Consider the following 21,109-nt stretch of genomic DNA (forward strand, 5'->3'; position numbering starts at 1 on the left):
TGGCACAGTTCAGTCCCTAACAGTGACCAAAAAAGGATGCCAATGTTCATTACCCTGATCTACTCTGATTTTCTCTTCTCTCTTTTTTTGTTTGAGACAGAGTCTCGCTCCATCACCCAAGCTGGAGTGCAGTGGTGTGATCTTGGCTCACTGCAGCCTCTGCCTTCTGGGTGTAAGCGATTCTCCTGTCTCAGCCTCCTGAGTAGCTGGGATTACAGGTGCCCACTACCACGCCCAGCTAATTTTTTTGTGTATTTTTGGTAGAGAGAGGGTTTCACCATGTTGGCCAGGCTGGTCTCGAACTTCTGACCTCAGGTGATCCACCCTCCTCGTCCTCCCAAAGTGCTGGGATTACAGGCATGAGCCACTGCACCCGGCCTCTACCCTATTTTCTTTTTCTTTTTCTTTCTTTTTTTTTTTTTCGAGATGGAGTTTTGCTCTGTCACCCAGGCTGGAGTGCAGTGGCGCGATCTTGGCTTACTGCAAGCTCCACCTCCCAGGTTCATGCAATTCTCCTGCCTCAGCCTCCTGAGTACCTGGGACTACAGGCGGCCGCCACCACGCCCGGCTTATTTTTTGTATTTTTAGTAGAGACGGGGTTTCACCATGTTAGCCAGGATGGTCTCGATCTCCTGACCTCATGATCTGCCCACCTTGGCCTCTCAAAGTGCTGGGATTACAGGCATGAGCCACTGCGCCCGGCCTGTTTGTTTGTTTTTTTTGAGTTGGAGTCTCGCTCTGTTGCCCAGGCTTGAGTGCAGTGGCACGATCTGAACTCACTGCAACCTCCGTCTCCTGGGTTCAAGCAATTTTCCTGCCTCAGCCTCCCGAGTAGTTGGGATTACAGGCACACACCACCACCCCCAGCTAATTTTTGTATTTTTAGTAGAGACAGGGTTTTGCCATGTTAGCCAGGATGGTCTCAATCTCTTCACCTCGTGATCCACCTGCCTCGGCCTCCCAAAGTGCTGGGATTACAGGTGTGAGCCACTGCACCCAGCCTGTTGGTTGGTTTTTAAGACAGAGTCTTGCTTTGTTGCCCAGGATGGAATACAATGGCTATCATAGCTCACTGCTCACTGCAGCCTTGAACTCTGGGCTGAAGCAATCCTCCTGCATCAGCCTCCTGAGTAGCTGGGTCTGGGTCTATAGGCATGCACCACCATGCCTGGCTAATTTTTGATTTTCTGTAGAGACAGGGTCTCACTACGTTGCACACTCTGTCTCCAACTCCTGGATGCAAGCAGTCCTCCCACCTTGGCCTCCCAAAGTGCTGGGATTACAGACATGAGCCACTGTGCCCGGCCATCATGAATTCTTTTTTTTTTCTTTTTTGAGATGGAGTCTCGTTCTGTTGCCCAGGCTGGAGTGCAGTGGTGCGATCTTGGCTCACTGCAAGCTCCACCTCCCAGGTTCACACCATTCTCCTGCCTCAGCCTCCTGAGTAGCTGGGATTACAGGCGCCCGCCACCACGCCTGGCTAATTTTTTTATATTTTTAGCAGAGACGGGGTTTCCCCGTGTTAGCCAGGATGGTCTCGATATCCTGACCTCATGATCCACCCGCCTCAGCCTCCCACAGTGCTGGGATTACAGGCGTGAGCCACCGGGCCCGGCCCGTGAATTCTTTAAAAGTAGGGACAGTGTCTTAGTTTTCAGTGTACCCTCAATGCCTAGAATAGTTTCTTGCACTGCAAACATTCTATAAGTATTGTTAAATTTGTTTCTGTACTCTTAAGTTCCTAAATACTATAGGTCACCTGAGCTAGAAGGAACCCAAAAGCATTATCTTGGTTTAGTGCCTTTATTCTACCGGTGAGGACGTGCACGTCTTCTTCCCCTATCACATGGTCGAGATAGAAGATGATGCCTTAGAAAATACTGCATGAGAATGTATACTCCCTGAGAGCAGAGACTGACTGCTTTTTTTCACCCTCATATCCCTATCATGTGGCATAGGGCCTGGCAAATAGTTAGGCTCAATTCATATTCAATATTTAATACACAACTAGCATGTCTGCCAGATATGAGGTTTCCTTATTGCTGAGAGGTGAGCAAATCCAAATCCTCCAGCCCTCCTTCTCACACACACAGTCCATGAGGAAATGCCTGTTCTAAAAAAAAAAGCCTGGCTTGCTGTGCTGCACAGTTCTGAAAGCGCTGGTTCATGAGAAGATAAGTTACCTTCAAAAACGAAACAGGAAACATGTATAAGAGGAAAACATTATGTAAGTATTGGTGAGACTCTGTGGATAGAGATTCTCATACACCCTATTGGTAGGATCATAGAACTTTTCTAGTTTGGCAATATATATCCAAATTTTAAATATGTATATCTTTTGAATTTATCCTCAGAAAAGGACAGGACAAATAATAAGGACACACACACACACACACACACACACACACACACACACACAGATATGGCTGTTTGCTGCAATGTTGTTTCTAGAGAAAAAAAAGATACATCCTAAATTTTTACTAATAGATTGGTTAAATGAATTACAGTATATCCATACAGTAGAATACCATGTAGAGCATGTAGTCCTACCAAAAAAAAAAAAAAGGTGGAGGGGGAAGGAAGTGAATCCAGTGTTAGCAGTGACTGTTTCTTTTGCTTTATTCCTTTTTTTGGGGTAAACAAGTAGACGGTTTTTATAATCAGAAAAAAAAATTCCAATTGAAAAAAAAATTTCAGACCTATTATTCCAAGAAAGGTAGACCCTGAAGAATTTCAAACTTTACCTATTTCTTTTAATCGCTTGTATCGTGCATGTCTCCTGAATTTTAAAAAATTAAATAATAACAAAGTTAAAATGAAAGTTAAAAAGTGAAAAACTTAGGAGGAGAGTAAAAAGTTATAATGAGAACCTAGGCTTTTTTGTTTTTTAGACAAAGAAAAAAGTAAAATGCACTGTGATGTTGTTCTAATTAACTGAGGAAAGAGCTCATACCAGTTTGTCAGGAAAGACAAACATTTTCTTCAGTTCCAAGAGAAAATGTGCTCACTTCAGCAGCACATATACTAAAATTGGAACGATACAGAGAAGATTAGCAATTCTCTTTAAAATAAATAAAAAATTTTAAAAAATAAATAAACCCAGAGGAAATTTTAAGACTTAACTTCTGTTCCTGTTACCTGTTAGCTGGCAAATATGCCCTTCCACTGGATCCTCACTTTCATGCTCAGTTCATGGCTTTGAAAGTGCTTACACAGGCCAGGCACAGTGGCTCACGCCTATAATCCCAGCATTTTGGGAAGCTGAGACGGGCAGATCACGAGGTCAGGAGATCAAGACCATCCTCGACAACGTGGTGAAACCCTGTCTCTACTAAAATATAAAAATTAGCTGGGCATGATGGCATGCACCTGTAGTCCCAGCTACTCGGGAGGCTGACAGAGGAATCGCTTGAACCTGGAAGGTGGAGGTGGCAGTGAGCCGAGATCGTGCCACTGCGCTCCAGCCTGGCCACAGAGCAAGACTCCATCTCAAAAAAAAAAAAAAAAAAAAAGGAAAAATAAAAAAGAAAAGAAAGTGCTTACACATAAGCATGCAATATTATCAAGGACATTTTGATATTTCCTTTGAGGAGGCACCAAATTACATACCTTATTTTAACTTTTTTTTTTAAATGTCGATATTACCAAATACAAAAATGAAGAGGTTTAATCCAAATATTAGGGAGCTTTAATTTTGTTGCTATTGTTTATTTTTTTAAAACTGTAAGAGTTTGCACATAGTACAAAGGGGCCTGCAGTGAATAGTAATTCCCCTTCCCACTGCTGCCGATGCCTGGGGCACTCAAGTCTCCTTAACTGCCAAAAGTCACCTACCACCTTCAACATGAACATGCACTGCTTTTCCTTTATCTGCCTTTTCCCTTGAACTGCCTCTAGATTCTTGGTGGAGGTGCTAGGGAAACATAAGGCAATAGAAATTAATTTGTCTATTTCTTCCTCTTCCGCCATCATGTGATCAAACTGGTACTGATCAATAAAGCCAAGCTGGCCACTTCTTTGCTGAAGTTAAAGCATTTCTTTAATTTTTATAAACAATAGGAATGGAGCCAAATATGACCCTTACAAGAAAAGATAAGCTCCCTACCCCACCTTACTAGAAAAGATAAGCTCCCTACCCCACCTTACTAGAAAAGATAAGCTCCCTACCCCAAACTACCTCATAAATATGGTTTGTAGATGCCTCATTCCTTAATCTCTTATAATGACAAGGTAGCTTGTTGTTGCTGTCATTATTGTTTAAAAAATGTGTGTGTTGAAGGGATGAATTTTACCTATTAGTCCCTTTGTAGACACTGTTCTATGTCATAGTACAAGTTTTATTACCATCATGACTTCAAAAAAAGTTTTTTAAAAAGGTTTTATTTCACCAGAAGAAGTATTCCTTTTTAAAATGTTCTAATGTTGACATTACTAATAACCCTTTGCACCAAAACAAATGCTTGCCAAAATGCTACAAGTCCAAAACTACACATTCAAAATACAAGATGTGGCCGGGTGCGGTGGCTCACGCCTGGAATCCCAGCACTTTGGGAGGCCAAGGTGGGTGGATCACAAGGTCAGGAGATGGAGACTGTCATGGCTAACACAGTGAAACCCCATCTCTACTAAAAAAAAAAAAAAAAATACAAAAAATTAGCCGGGCATGGTGGCGGGTGCCTGTAGTCCCAGCTACTCGGAAGGCTGAGGCAGGAGAATGGCATGGACCCAGGAGGCAGAGCTTACAGTGAGCCGAGATGGTGCCACTGCACTCCAGCCTGGGCGACAGAGTGAGACTCTGTCTCAAAAAAAAAAAAAAAATCAAAATACGAGATGTGGGCCAGGTGCAGTGGCTCAAGCCTATAATCCCAGCACTTTGGGAGGCTGAGGCAGGTGGATCACTTGAGGTCACGAGTTCGAGACCAGCCTGGCCAACATGGTGAAACCCGTCTCTACTAAAGATACAAAAATTAGTCGGCATGGTGGCGGGCACCTGTAATCCCAGCTACTCAGGAGGCTGAGGCAAGAGAAGCACTTGAACCCAGGAGGTGGAGGTTACAGTGAGCTGAGATTGTGCCACTGCACTCCAGCCTGGGCAACAGAGCGAGACTCCGTCTCAAAAAAAAAAAAATGTGTGTGCTCTGGGAATGCAATAGGAAGAATGATGTTTCAAGTTAGTAAAAATAGCCAGAGTGACGAATAAACTGTTAGAGAAATGGCAGAGTCCAGAAGTGCAAGGAGTTATCCACCCCCACCCTTGAGCCTTTGTGCCTCCAAGTGCACTGCTGTTCAGTGTGCTGTGATTTCTACATGACTGGCCACAACACAGTTAATCCAAAGAACAGAAATTGTCCGACTCCCCTGGTCCCAGCTCCCACTGCTCCGGATCCTCATGCTTCTGTCTCCTGGCTTTCTTAACTGCTCTCAGATAATTAGATTTGTTAGAGCAAAACTAATTGGTAGGCTAGTGCCAAGGGCATGCTGCCACTGACAAAGCAGGTGTGTAGCACCACTGCATTGGCTAAATTGCTCTGTACATGCAATTCGTCAGAGTCAACCCTTCCCTCCACCCGTGGAACAGCTGACCTGCCAGGCAACTATCTGGCAAAGAAGTTCAGCAGAGATGACCAGTGGGCATGTGGGCCTCCAATCTTTTGGTGATCATACCAGCCCTCACTTTCCTCCTCAGCTGATTCCATAATTGGCAGCTAAAAGGGGAGCCTGGGTAGGCAGGGGCATTGCCCACTGAGCTGTCGGCAGCTTGTTGATGTGACTCTCGAACACAGCAGAGGTGGGTGGCACTATGGAGATAAGCAATTCACACCTCCCCATACTTCCTCCCACTCCTTAACTTGGAAACACAAGGTGCTTTGGGATCTGGAATTGGCCTCCCTCAGCTGTTGTGCTATGACTTATGCTTTGCAAATGCTTCCTTAGGGCTGTCCCTTGAGGAGTGGTTAGGTTTTGCCTTGTAACTCACTGTATGTCGCAGCAAGACATTTAGCCACACACCAAAGCAGGGAGGATTTCCTACATCTAGAGTCATTGTCTTACAGAGCTATAAGAACTTCAAAGCTCCTGGAAAGGACTCGCCCAGGTTGGCACAACTAGCTTGCAGAACAAGAATTAGAACAGGTCCCATGAAGCAGCATTTCTTAAACTCGTGAAACTAGGAACCATAGGCAGGTATACATTTTACCTGATGAGCGATGAGTATGAGTATAAAATATACATATGGATAAATATATATACATATATTTATCCTCAAATATATATATATATATATATTTGAAACAGAAATGTCATACACATTACTTACCCTTTCTAAATCCTAATCCTATGTTCCACTTTCTATTCTTGTGTGGGGGATCTTTTTTTTTTGAGACAGAGTTTCACTCTTGTTGCCCAGGCTGGAGTGCAACGGCGCGATCTCGGCCTACTGCAACCTCAGCCTCCTGGGTTCAAGCGATTCTCCTGCCTCAGCCTCCTGAGTAGCTGGGATTACAGGCATGCACCACCACACGTGGCTAATTTTGTATTTTTGGTAGAGACAGGGTTTCTCCATGTTGGTCAGGCTGGTCTTGAACTCCTGACCTCAGGTGATCCGCCCGCCTTGGCATCCCAAAGTGCTGGCATTACAGGCGTGAGCCACCGTGCCTGGCCTCTTGTTGGGGATCTTTTAGCTGCTTTTGATCCACTAAATTGGTTTATGACCCATTAAAGAGTCACAACCTGAAGTTTAAAAAGCACGGTACAGGGCTGGGCACAATGACTCATGTTTGTAATACAGCACTTTGAGAAGCCAAGGCAGGAGGATTGCTTGAGCACAGGAGTTGGAGACCAGCCTGGGAAACATAGTAAGACCCCATTTCTAAAAAAAAATAAAACTAAGGCCAGGTGCGGTGGCTCACGCCTATAATCCCAGCACTTTGGGAGACCGAGATGGGCGGATCACGAGGTCAGGAGATCGAGACCATCCTGGTTAACACGGTGAAACCCCGTCTCTACTAAAAATACAAAAAATTAACTGGGCATGGTGGCAGGCGCCTGTAGTCCCAGCTACTCAGGAGGCTGAGGCAAGAGAATGGCATGAACCCGGGAGGTGGAGCTTGCAGTGAGCCGACATCGCGCCACTGCACTCCAGCCTGGGAGACAGCGAGACCCTGTCTGAAAAAATAAATAAATAAATAATAAATAAAAATAAAATAAAAATTTTTAAAAAAGTATCATACAGGGCTGGGTGCAGTGGCTCACGCCTGTAATCCTAATGCTTTGGACGACAAAGGTGGGAGGATCGCTTGAGCCCAGGAGTCCAAGACCAGCCTGGGCAACATAGGGAAACCCTGTCTCTACAAAAAAAATTTAAAGAAAAGTAGCCAGGGCATGGTGGTGCTGGCCTGTGTTTCCAGCTACTCAGGAGGCTGAAGTGGAAGGATCTTGAGCGCAAAGGGTCAAGGCTGCAGTGAACCAAGATTGCACCACTGCATTCCAGCCTAGGGAACAGGGTAAGACCCTTTCTCAAAAAACAAACAGAAAACTTAAGTCCTATCAAGTTAATCTTTTTAATAAAATTCCAGCATCTCCCTGTTGCTGGTAATAATACTAGCTAACACTCATGCCATGCTTACAATGTACCAGGTATTTTTTTTTTTTTTTGAGACGAAGTTTTGTTCTCATTGCCCAGGCTGGAGTGCAATGGCGCGATCTCGGCTCACTGCAACCTCAACCTCCAGGGCTCAAGTGATTCTTCTGCCTCAGCCTCCCGAGTAGCTGGGATTACAGGCATGCACCACCACACCTGGCTAATTTTAGATTTTTAGTAGAGATAGGGTTTCTCTGTGTTGGTCAGGCTGGTCTCGAACTCCTGACCTCAGGTGATCCACCCGTCTCAGCCTCCCAAAGTGCTGGGATTACAGGTGTGAGCCACAGCGCCCGGCCAAGTACCAGGCACTCTTCTAAACCACTTATTTATATTGAGCTTATCTATTCCTCACAATAGCCCTAGAACAAGCTTGTCCAACCCGTGGCCCGCAGGCCGCACGCAGCCCAGGATGGCTTTCAATGCAGCCCAACACAAATTTGTACGCTTTGTTAAAACAATATGATATTTTTTTTTTGCTATTATTTATTTATTTATTTATTTTTTTAACTCATCAGCTATCGTTAGTTTTAGTGTATTTTATGTGTGGCCGAAGGCAATTCTTCCTCTTCCAGTGTGGCCCAGAGAAGCCAAAAGATTGGACACCCCTGCCCTGGAGGTAGGGTTACTATCATACTCCTCTTAACAAAGATGGTGAGTAACAGCCCAAAGACACATAGCTGGTAAGAGACAGGGCCAGGATTTGAACCCAAGCAGCAGTGTAATTCCAGACTAAGCATTCTGGGCCAGAATTCTCCACAGTGGTTAACAGTGAATCCAACTGCTTAAAATAAGTTTCCAAGCCGTATCATGCTGCCTCTGTATGCTCCAGCCTGCTGGCCATTTGTATGACCTCATACTTGCTGTTCCCTATGTTTAAAACATGTCCCCTCTGCATTTGGTTAATTCCTACATGGGCTTCACTTCAGGTCCTCCCTTATTTCCTTATACTACCTGAGATATCCGTGTTCCCATAACACTCTCTCCTTTCTTCCTTCTCTGTCCCTCATTCATCCATTCAATTTTTTTTTTTTTTTTTTTGAGATGGAATCTCACTCTGTTGACAGGCAGGAGTGCAGTGGTGCAATCTTGGCTCACCGCAATCTCTGCCTCCCAGGTTCAAGTGATTCTCCTGTCTCGGCCTCTCGAGTAACTGGGATTACAGGCGCATGCCACCACGCCTGGCTAATTTTTGTATTTTCAGTAGAGATGGGGTTTCACCATGTTGGCCAGGATGGTCTCAATCTCCTGACCTCATGATCCGCCCGCCTTGGCCTCCCAAAGTGCCAATTACAGGCGTGAGCCACCGCGCCGGGCCCATCCATTCAATTTATTTGATAATAAATTATTTACTGAGCACTTATCCCATGCAAGGAGATATAGAAGCCACGAAGACAAAGTCCCTGCCCTTGTGAACTCATCTTTTCCGAAGGGAGAGTATGGAGATAATAAACGATTAAATAATATGTCAAGTGGTGTCAAGTGTTAACAAGAAAAGGCAGGGTTAGGTGGGCTGGACATGTGCCTATTTCATGTTGAGAGGTTGAGGAGGGGCTCATGGAGGAGGCGACATCCCAGCAGGGACCCAAGGAAGTAGGAGACAGCCTTGTGGACTTCTGGGGGAGGAGTAGTCCAGAAAGAGAGAACAGCCGGTGCAAAGACCCTGAGTGGAAAGAATGCTTGGATGGTCCAGGAATGGCCGTGTGGCTGGAGCAGAGTAAGCCAAGGGGACCTGGAGCAAATGAGTTCTGCAACATACTGGGATCCAGATGGCTTAGGGCCTTGGAGGTCACTTTGTCTTTTACCCTGTGTGAGCTGGGGAGCCGCTGGGGGATTCTGAGCAGAAGAGTGATGTATTAGTTTCTATTCCTGCTGTAACAAATTACCACAAATTTAGTGGCTTGGCCAGGCGCGGTGGCTCACACCTGTAATCCCAGCACTTTGGGAGGCCGAGGCGGATGGATCACAAGGTCAGGAGATCGAGACCATCCTGGCTAACACAGTGAAACCCCACCTCTACAAAAAATACTAAAAATTAGTTGGGCATGGTGGCGGGTGTCTGTAGTCCCAGCTACTTGGGAGGCTGAGGCAGGAGAATGGCATGAACCCAGGAGGCGGAGCTTGCAGTGAGCTGAGATCGTGCCACTGCACTCCAGCCTGGGTGACAGAGCGAGACTCCATCTCAAAAAAAAAAAAAAAAAAATTCAGTGGCTTAAAACAACACAAATTTATTATCTTACAGTTCCGGAGGTCAGAAGTTATCTCACTGGGATAAAATTGATATGTTGGCAGCGCTGCATTCCTCCTTCTGGAGGCTCTAGGGGAGAGGATGTTTCTTTGCCTTTTCCAGCTTCTAAAGGTTCCCTTGCTCCATCTTCGAAGCCAGCAACATTGCATTTCTCTGACTGTTCTTCTGTGGTCACGTCTCCCTCAGACCACACTCAGGAAAGGTTATCCACTTTTAAGAATTCATGTGATTAGGTTGAGCCCACCTGAATAATGCAGAATAATCTCCCTAGCTCAAGGTCCTTAATCACATCTGTGAAATTTTATTTTATTTTATTTTATTTTTGAGATGGAGTCTTGTTCTGTTGCCAGGCTGGAGTGCAGTGGCATGATCTGGGCTCACCACAACCTCCGCCTCCCAGGTTCAAGCGATTCTCCTGCCTCAGCCTCCTGAGTAGCTAGGATTACAGGCACCCGCCACCATGCCCAGCTAATTTTTGTACTTTTAGTAGAGACAGGGTTTTACCATGTTGGTCAGGCTGGTCTTAAACACCTGACCTTGTGATCTACCCACCTCAGCCTCCCAATGTGCTGGGATTACAGGCGTGAGCCACCGCACCTGGCCTGTGAAATCTTTTTGGCCATGTAAGGCAACACATTCATAAGCCCCAGGGATTAGGACACGGCCATGTTTGGTGATGGGGAGGGAGTATTCTGCCTATAGCAAGTGACATAATTTGAAGAGTTTTAACAGGATCACCTTTGGCTGCTCTATGGGGAATAAACTGTAGTGCAAGGGTGGAGGCAGGGAGACCGATCATTTAGGAGACTATTGGCATAATCCAGGTTCTCGAGAGTTGATCAAGGCCCAGACCAGGGTGCCAGTAGAAGAAGTGGCAGGATATGATCAACGTCTGGCCTTTTTCTGAAGGTAGAACTGACAGGATTTGCTGAGGGACTGGAGGTGGAGTGTGAGAGAAGAGGAGTCAAGGATAACTCCAAGACTGACCCTCCACCCCCTTACAGTACTTGACAGATGTCTCCTTTATTCAACTGTTCAACCGTCTTCCTTATTACCCCGAAAGTTCTGATGGAGAAGGCCCCAAATCTAGCTTGCTCACTGTTGTATCCTCACATCTATGAGTGCATGGAACATAGTAAAACAGTGCATAGCTACTACTTATTGAGCCATTATTATATGGTAGGCACTTTATGTACTCTTATTGAATAATCAGAACAGCCGGCCAGGCGCAGTGGCTCACACCTGTAATCCCAGCACTTTAAGAGGCTGAGGCGGGTGGATCATGAGGTCAGGAGTTCGAGACCAGCCTGGCCAACATGGTAAAACCCCGTCTTTACTAAAGATATAAAAAATTAGCGGGGCGTGATAGCGTGCACCTGTAATCCCAGCTATTCAGGGGGCTGAGGTGGGAGAATCGCTGGAACCTGGGAGGGGGAGGTTACAGTGAGTCGAGATTGCACTGTTGCACTCCAGCCTGGGTGACAGGTCAAGACTCCACCTCAAAAACAAAAAAAAAAAAATCAGCCTTATGAAGTAGTTACTATTATTATCCCCACTTACTAATTGAGGATACCAAGGCCCAGAGAGATTAAATGACTTATAACAGGAAATAGAAGGAGAACTGAGATTTAATCCACATTAAATACATAAATTCATTCAAATTAGCAAAAATTTGGGTTTATCTAAATATTCTGACTGCATATGAAATGGGACATGGGGAAAAGGATACAGATTTATAAACCTGTCAAAGTTTTAATCATAGAAGAATCATGTTAGGAAATAGCAAAAGTTAGAGCCACTAACTCAGAATTTTCAAACTCTGTAGTCAGTCTTACCTGTGGTTTGGTTGATGTAATGAGTGAAGCAGGCAGTAATTTCAGAAATGTTTTGTAACCACACTGGAGGCAAAGAAGAGAAAAACAGATGACATCAGAGAGACCATGCTGGTTCAGTGAAAAATGCCCAGATCTGATAGTGAAGGAGAGACTTTAGCCTCACTTTAGTCCCAACCACTTATTAGCCAATACATCTGAGGTATTGACTTCATCTCTCTGAGACCATCTCAACTCTAAAAGGGATATGATACTATCTGCCTTATCTACCTCATAGACTCTTGGGAGAAATTAAATTTATTTGTTCCATCAGTACAGAGCATCTATCATGTACCTGGCATTGCTGTAGACACCAGAGTCATGTCATGAACAAAACAGACAAAAAAGAAGGAAGTTTATTGGACTTACAGTTCCACGTAGTGGGGGAAACCTCACAATCATGGCAGGAGATGAAAGGCACGTCTCACATGGCAGCAGACAAGAGCAGAGGGCTTGTGCAGGGAAACTCCCCTTTTGAAAACCATCAGATCTGCTGAGACTTGTTCACTATCGTGAGAACAGCACGGGAAAGACCTGCCCCTGTGATTCAATTAACAGACAAAATCCTCACCTCCATGGAGTCTGCATTCTAGTGGAAGGGGAGATTGACAAAAACAAGAATAAACAAATAGATAATTTCAAGAGTGATAAATGCTACAAAGAAAAATAAAACAGGGTAGGGGGTTATAGAGTAATCAAGGAGGAGGTAACGCTGGACAGAAACATAAGGAAACTGAGTGAGCAAGTGATAGTAATGTGTGGAAAGGGAAATCCAGGCAGAAGAGACAGAGTGCTTTAAGCTCCTGCAGTGGGAATGAGCTGGGGCTATCTGAGGAATGGCAAAGAGTGAGCATGGCGAAAGAGTGATGGATGATGCTGGAGATGCAGGTCGGCCCCGATCATGCAGACCTTTGCTGGTCATGGTAGAGACCTTGGATTTTATGCATATCCCAGAAGATAATAGAAACACAAGTATGCAAAGAACAATACAAACAAATAGCAGATGAAAGAGGCATAATGTGGACTTAGGTGGCAACACTGGCACACCTGCTTCAAGAGCACAGGCTCCAGAGGCTACCTGGGTTGGAATCTCGGATGCACCAGTACCTAGTGGTGGCACCTTGTAAAGGACCTGTGTGATATAGTTTGGCTGTGTCCCCACCCAAATCTCATCTTGAATTCCCATGTGTTGTGGGAGGAACCCTGTGGGAGGTAATTGAATCGGGGGCAGGTCTTTCTCATGCTGTTCCTGTGATAGTGAACAAGTCTCAGGAGATCTGATGGTTTTAAAAAGGGGAGTTTCCCTGCACAAGCTCTCTTCTCTTGTCTGCTGCCATGTGAGATGTGCCTTTCATCTTCTGCCGTGATTGTGAGGTCTCCCCAGCCACGTGGAACTGTAAGTCCAATAAACCTCTTTCTTTTGCATATTGCCCAGTCTTGGGTATGTCTTTATTAGCAGCTTGAAAACGGACTAATACACTATGTCATATCAAGTTTTCATTGTACAGTTGTCCCTCATGTCTGCAGAGGATTGATTCCAGGACCTCCTGTGATACCAAAATCTGCAGATGTTCAAGTTCCTGATAAAAAAAAAAACATGGCATAGCACTGTATTTGCATATAACCTAAGCACATTCTCCCTTATACTTTATTTTTAACTTTTATTTTATTTTCCATGACAGGGCATCACTCTGTCACCCAGGCTGGAGTACAGTGATGCAATCATGGCTCACTGCAGCCTCAACCTCCTGGATTCAGGCGATCCTCCTGCCGTGGCCTCCCAAAGCACTTGGATTACAGGCATGAGCCACCGTGCCTGGCTCCCATGTACTTTAAATCATCTTGAGGGGGGAAGTATAAGTAATCTTGAGATTACTTATACTGCCTAATACAATGTGATGCTATGTGAATAGTCATTATCATGTATTGTTGAGGGAATAATGATAAGAACAAATGTCTGTACATGTTTAGTACAGATGTAATTTTTTTTGCAAATATTTTTTACCCAAGGTTGGTTGAATCCATGGATGTGGAACCCAGGAATACAAAGGGCCAATTGTATTTGTTAACTTTCAGGGGAAATGATTATAGTCACAGTAAAACCTAATACATGTAGTGACATGGTGGTGCTACTGTGGCCAACTTTGTATCATAAAAAGGCATCCTCTGTTTTCAATGGTGTAATGTGGTTCCATATCCACAAATTCACCCTATTTCATATTTTTGTAAGTTCTCCTTTACTTTCACAATACTTAGTAAAATCTTGTTGTTGCTGTTTGAATGTAAGAAGAAAATTAGAGTAATGTCCAACTGAAGCAAACCAAATTAAGAACAAAGCTATTCTAAACCCCAGCTGCCAACCAGCTATCCAGTCACCTACCTTAAATTGTTGTCTTGGAATTGAATAGCAGCCAAAACCAAATTATCTTCAAAGCTGGATTAAGATGCACATGGATAATAAAATTCTATTAAATAAGCCTTCCCATATCAATAAATAGCTTGAAAGGAAAAAAGCAGATGAAAAATCCCTGGGAGTTTATAAAAACTTGGCAGAGATATTTGTCATTTGGGTTATGCAAGAAACTATCCTGATAATAAGTACACTGATAAAGTCCTTGTGTAGAGCATATTTTACCAGCATTTGAAAAATATGTAAAAATGTTTTTGTTTTATTTTTAACCTTTCTAAATCCAGGGACCCAGGGCCTTCAAGAAGCTATTTTTGGTGATGGTACAATGTTCTGACACCTTTTACTGAGCAAAATTGACACATCTGTTGAAATTAACATTTGTATCTCCATGGACCGATATGTCAGTAAAAAATATAAAATATCACCATGTTTCCGTGCTAACCAGCATTTGGAAACAGAGGGCTCTTCAAACCAAACTGTTCCAGTCCCCTTGAGACAGGATCCAAGTATCAACAATTTAGCACTGATCCCCATCACCTTTGAATATTCTAAGACCACAGGGTAGATAAACTCAGCTCAAACTAAATGGAATAGAAGTTTCTGTGGTAGGCCGAATCCCATCTGTTAGAATCTACATATACCTTGCATCCTTGCGTACCTTGACAATCCAGCAAGTTTGCTTTGTGTCCAGATCTAGAGAAAAGAGAGGAAGAGCAGCGTAGCTGGAATATTTTCTTACATCCAATCGAGAAAAAATCCAAGGCATTGGAATCTATGCAACCTTCTTCTTGGTCCGTGCATTTACATCCAGCTGTAGATGAGCAATAGGGATCCCTCATTACAGACTGGAATCACATACTAACGCTTCACTAGTTACTATACCTAAAGACTTGAGAATAATTAAACATTCATCGTGGACCTTCCTATGAGTTAGAAAATATATAAGAAAGATGTGATTAGTTCAGGGAAAGAGAGGACAGGTATACATAATTTTACAATGCAGAGCAGCAGATGCCATATGGGAGAAATAAACATAAAATAATAATAGGGATTCAAAGGAAAAAAATCACATACAAAAAAGCTTAATGTAGGAGGTGGAATTTGACCTAAAAGGCAGAAAATACCAGAACATTAGAGAGTTGCTATTCAGAGAAAAGAAAAAGAAAGTAATAAAACAAGAGCTGTGATAGAAAAAAAAGAACAGCTGAGCTTCACTCAAACCCAGGGGACATGTAGAGGGCGGAAAGAAACATGGCTTGGAAAGATGCTTGTGGACCAGGGCCACAGTATAAAGGACCTAAGGGCAAATGAAGTTTTGATTTTATCCTGCGATCTATAGGGAGCCACAAGTGGTAAAACTGGGAATATTTTAGTGTATGATTACATTTGTTTTAAAAAGATAATAATATCCAGGAATATCCTGGATAATAATATCCAGGATTAGCGAGGGTGACAAGAGGAGGGACTGAAAAAGACTAATTGGGGGGTGGGTAGTAAAGGATCGAAGAAAGAGTAGATACCGAGCAGCTAGACAAGGACAGATTCGAGGGTCATTTTGATGGTAATGTTGACAGAGCTTAGTAACCTGTAAAATGTAGGCGTGAGGGTAAGAAGAAGAGCAAAGATGACCCGGTGCATAGCGCGGGTGTCAGGAAGACACTCCTCCACGGTTTTGGCATTATTTGGTGGGGAAAGTTTGAGTTTAGTTTTGTCCACATGGAGTTTAAACAAAACAATGTAAACTTAAGACCTGTTTTTTCTCAGATATCCTTTTGAAAAATTTTGCTTTGACTGCTGAGCTCCAAAATTAGCTCTGAGCTGTCTAGCTCTGTGCTCAAGTGTTTTGTTATGGGGCGTTGGAATATCGCCTTCCTACAAGACCTGCCATTTTACTGTCCAAAATTTCATGTAACAAAAAATAGGGGGTGGTGATTTAAAATTTTTTAGTAGCTTTTTTTTTTGCCACCAGTAGTTATTTTAATTTGCATTATAACTAAAATTTGGATGCAATCCCTATTGTTAATAAGATGTCTGAACAAAGAACCATAAAGTTTGGGGTTCTAACAATATATACCAAAGCCTCTGACTCTGAAAAAGATTTCAGTTGTTGTGCCATCTGCTTGGAAACTAATTAATGGTTTAAAAATAGATGAACTTTTGAAGGCAAATAACATGAAAATAATGGAAAATATTAATATAGATCTCATAAACCTACAGCATAGAAAACAGTGATGTGTTTTAGGTATTGCATTAAGGAAAAAACCAGGCTGAGAAGATGCCACTATGAAATGCTTAACACTAGGGCTGGGTGCGGTGGCTCACACCTGTAATCCCAGCACTTTGGGAGGCTGAGGCGGGCAGATGATGAGGTCAGGAGTTCGAGACCAGCCTGGCCAACATGGTGAAACCCCGTCTCTACTAAAAATACAAAAATTAGCCGGGCATGATGGTGGGCGCCTGTAATTCCAGCTACTCAGGAGGCCGAGGCAGGGAGAATTGCTTGAACTTGGGAGGCGGAGGTTGCAGTGAGCCGAGATTGCGCCACTGCACTCCAGCCTGGGCGACAGAGGAAGACTCCGTCTCGGAAAAAAAAAAAGAAAAAGAAATGCTTAACATTATGTGCATAGTATAATATGCACAGCTTTAGTGCCTACAGAAGCATAGGGAAAAAATAACATGCACAGATAAGGAGGTAGCTGATTCAAAGAACAGGAAAGCAGGATGATTGGTTGCCTGCCTGCCTGCCTGCCTTCCTTCCTTCCTTCCTTCCCTCCCTCCCTCCCTCCTTCATTCCTTTTTTTTTTTTTTTTTTTTTTTTTTTTTTTTGCCAGAGTCTCGCTCTGTGGCCCAGGCTGGAGTGCAGTGGCCTGATCTCCGCTCACTGCAAGCTCCGCCTCCCGGGTTCACGCCATTCTCCTGCCTCAGCCTCCCGAGTAGCTGGGACTACAGGCGCCCGCCACCAAGCCCGGCTAATTTTTGTATTTTTTTTTTTAAGTAGAGACAGGGTTTCACCGTGTTAGCCAGGATGGTATCGATCTCCTGACCTCGTGATCCGCCCGCCTCGGCCTCCCAAAGTGCTGGGATGACAGGTGTGAGCCGCCGCGCCCAGCTTGGTTGGGTACTTTCATAATTCTTTTTTCAAACTTATTACTGGTGATTAATTTTTAAACAGTATCTAGTAATGTGAGCACTCGTCCTATTTATGAGGTGAAACTTCTCATATCCTATACTTAATAATTTCTAAAATATAAACATACAAATCCCTGCCGTATCTTGTCTATTCTGTCTCTGTCTTCGTTTTCTTTTTTCTTTTCTTTCTTTCTTTCTTTCTTTTTTTTGAGACGGCCTCTCTCTCTGTCGCCCAGGCTGGAGTGCAGTGGCGCAACCTCAGCTCCCCGCGATCTCCGCCTCCCGGGTTCAAGCGGTTCTCGTGGCTTAGCTTCCCGAGCAGCTGGTCTCAAACTCCTGGCCTCATGTGATCCCCCCTCACCCGCCTTCCAAAGTGCTGGGATTACAGGCGTGAGCTACAGTGCCCGGCCTCTGTCTTCACTTTCACAACTAAACTTTTTAAACAAGCTACCTATACATGCAGTATCCCTTTCCACACCTTCCACTCATTCCTCAGCCCCGTGCAATGTGGCTTGCTACCCTCAAAAGGCCAATGAGGACACTCTCACTAAGATCACCAGTGATCTAGGTGACCCTGAATCTAGCGAAGTCTTTCTCATGTTAGCTCTGTTGTTTTGAGGATTAAATGAACTAATTCATGTAATACGCTTAGTAGAGTATCTGAAATGTTCAAGATACGTTCTAAACTTCTATCTTGTATTGGTCTATCCACATCTTCTGAATATAGGTAAATCCAGCAAGTGGATCTTTTTGTCATTTAAAAAACTTGAAGTAGGCTGCACATGGTAGTTCATGCCTGTAATATCAGCACTTTGGGAGGCTGAGGCAGGAGGTTCACTTGAGGCCAAGAGTTTGAGACCAGCCTGGCCAACATGGCGAGACATCGTCTCTACAAAAAATTTTAGAAATTAGGCGTGGTGGTGTGCACCTGTGGTCCCAGCTACTCTGGAGGTTGAGGCAGGAGGATCACCTGAGCCTGGGAGGTTAAGGCTGCAGTGAGCTGTGATTGCACCACGCATTCTAGGCTGGGAGACAGAGTGAGACCCTGAAAAAGAAAGAAAGAGAGAAACAGAGAGAAAGAGAAGGTGGGGGAGGGAGGGAGGGAAGGAAGGAAGGAAGGAGAAAGAAAGAGGAGGAAAGGAGGGAAGGAAGAGAGAGAGGAAGGAGAGGAGAGGAGAGGAGAGGGGGGGAGGGGAGGAGAGGAGAGGGGAGGAGGGGAGGGGAGGGGAGGGGAGGGGAGAGGAGAGGAAAAGTCGACCGGGTGCGGTGCTTAAGCTTGTAATCCCAGCACTTTGGGAGGCTGAGGTGGGTGGATCACTTAATGTCAGGAGTTCAAGACCAGCCTGGCCAATATGGCAAAACCCCGTTTCTAATAAAAATACAAAATACAAAATTTAGCCAGGCGTCTTGCTGCATGCCTGTAATCCCAGCTACTCAGGAGGCTGAAGCAGGAGAATCACTTGAACTCGAGAGGCACAGGTTGCAGTGAGCCCAGATTGCACCACTGCACTCCAGGCTGGACAACAGAGTGAGACTCTGTCTCAAAAAAAGAGGCCTGGCGGGGTGGCTCATACTTGTAATCCCAGCACTTTGGGAGGCCGAGGTGGGCGGATCGCTTGAGGACAGGAGTTCAAGACCAGCCTGGCCAACATGGTGAAACCCCATTTCTGCTAGAAATATTAAAAAATTAGCCGGGCATGGTGGCAGGCACCTGCAATCCCAGCTACCTGGGAGGCTAAGGCAGCAGAATAGCTCAAACCCAGGAGGCAGAGGTTGTAGTGAGCCAAGATCACGCCATTGCAATCCAGCCTGGGCAACAAGAGCAAAACTCCATCTCAAACAAACCAACAAACAACAACCAAAAAGTCATCACATTTTTACTCACTTGCATTTACATAAAAAATCTAGAAGATCTCGAAAAGAAGAATACACCCTTCTGTTTTAATTTTTTAAATTAACAAATAAAATTATATATTTATGGTATGTACACACATTTTTGATTTATGTATATACATCGTGGAATAGTTAAATCAAACTAACACATCCATCACCTCATATACTTAGTTTTTCATCCTAAGAACATTTAAAATCTGCTCTTTCAGCAATTTTCAAGTATATAAAACACTGTTATTAATTTTTTTTTTTTTTTTTGAGACAGGGTCTCACTCTGTCCCCCAGGCTGGAGTGCAGTGGCACAATCATAACTCACTTCAGCCTTGACCTCCTAGGCTCAAGCAACCCTCCCGCTTCAGCCTCCCAGGTAGCTGGAACTACAGGCATGTACCACCACACCCAGCTCATTTTATTTTTTATGTTTTAGAGACAGCGTCTCACCATGTTACTTAGGCTGGTCTTGAACTCCTGGCCTCAAGTGATCCTCCTACCTCGGCCTTCCAAAGTACTGGGATTACAGGGGTGAACCACTGCACCCAGCCAAAACACTGTTATTAACTATAGTCACCATATTTAACAACAGATTACCCCAAGTTATTCCTTCATCTAACTGAAACTTTATGTCCTTTGACCAACATCTTTCCAACCCCAAACCCCAGCCACTGGCAACCATCATTCTACTCTTTTTTTTTTTTTTTCCAGACAGAGTATTACCCTGTCACCCAAGCTCTTTTTTTTTTTTTTTTTTTTTGAGGCGGAGTCTCACTCTGTCACCCAGGCTGGAGTGCAGTGGCACGATCTCAGCTCACTGCAAGCTCTGCCTCCCGGGTTCACACCATTCTCCTGCCTCAGCCTCCAGAGTAGCTGGGACTACAGGTGCCCATCACCATGCCCGGCTAATTTTTTTTTTGCATTTTTAGTAGAGACAGGGTTTCACCATGTTAGCCAGGATGGTCTTGATCTCCTGATCTCATGATCCTCCCGACTTGGCCTCCCAAAGTGCTGGGATTACAGGTGTGAGCCACCACGTCTGGCCCATTCTACTCTTTACTTCTGAGTTTGACTTTTTTAGATTCCACACGTAAGTGGGGTCATGCAGTATTTGCATTTCTGTGCCTGGCTTATTTCACTTAACATATGTCCTCCACGTTCATCCATGTCCTTGCAAATGACAGCATTTCTTTTTTAAGGCTGAATAATATTCCACTGTGTATATACACCACATTTTCTTTATACATTCAACTGTTGGTGGACACTTACATCTCTTCAACATACCAGTTTCATTTGCTTTGGATATATACCCAGAAATGGAATTGCTGGATCATACAGTAGTTCTATTTTTAATTATTTGAGGAAGCTTCATATGGTTTCCCATAATGGTTGTACCAATTTATATTCCCCAAACAGTTTACAAGGGTTCTCTTTTCTCCACATCCTCATCAACATTTATCTCTTATTTTTAATTCTTCAGAGAATTCTCATCAACATATGTAATACTATTTTTCCAGAATCTGGGCAAAAAAGAAAGCTAAGTGTTCAAAGTATAGTTCTCAAAATTCATTCAAGAGAAAGAAAACAAGCCACATACTGGGAGAATATATTTGCAAAAGATTTATATGATAAAGGACTGTTATTCAACATATACAAAGAACTCTTAAAGCTCAACAATAATAAAACAACCAGCTGGGCATGGTGGCTCACGCTTGTGATCCCAGCACTGTGGGAAGTGTGAAGATTGCTTCAGCCCAGGAGTTGGAGACCAGCCTGGGTAACATAGTGAGACCTTGGCTCTACAAAAAAATCTAAAAATTGGCTGGGTGTGGTGGCTCACATTTGTAATCCCAATAGTTTGGGAGGCTGAGGTGGGAGGATTGCTTGAGCTCAGGAGTTTGAGACCAGCCTGGACAACATGGTGAAACCCC

General features: G+C 44.0%; 1 pseudogene, besides 1 other annotated feature; it reads left to right on the forward strand.

The window, feature by feature from the left end:
• The first annotated feature begins 3,000 nt into the window (after positions 1-3,000).
• LOC124906341 (uncharacterized) lies at positions 3,001-3,085 on the forward strand (annotated as a pseudogene).
• Positions 13,050-14,249: an enhancer, noted in NCBI's record as "BRD4-independent group 4 enhancer chr3:195190192-195191391 (GRCh37/hg19 assembly coordinates)". NCBI's record gives its function as "activates an origin of replication core promoter dependent on BRD2, P300/CBP, MED14 and CDK7 cofactors, and independent of BRD4, by STARR-seq in HCT116 cells {active_cell/tissue: HCT116}" and the evidence as "EXISTENCE:reporter gene assay evidence [ECO:0000049][PMID:35650434]".

This window comes from Homo sapiens, chromosome 3, assembly GCF_000001405.40.
Source record: "Homo sapiens chromosome 3, GRCh38.p14 Primary Assembly".
Classification (NCBI taxonomy): domain Eukaryota; kingdom Metazoa; phylum Chordata; class Mammalia; order Primates; family Hominidae; genus Homo; species Homo sapiens.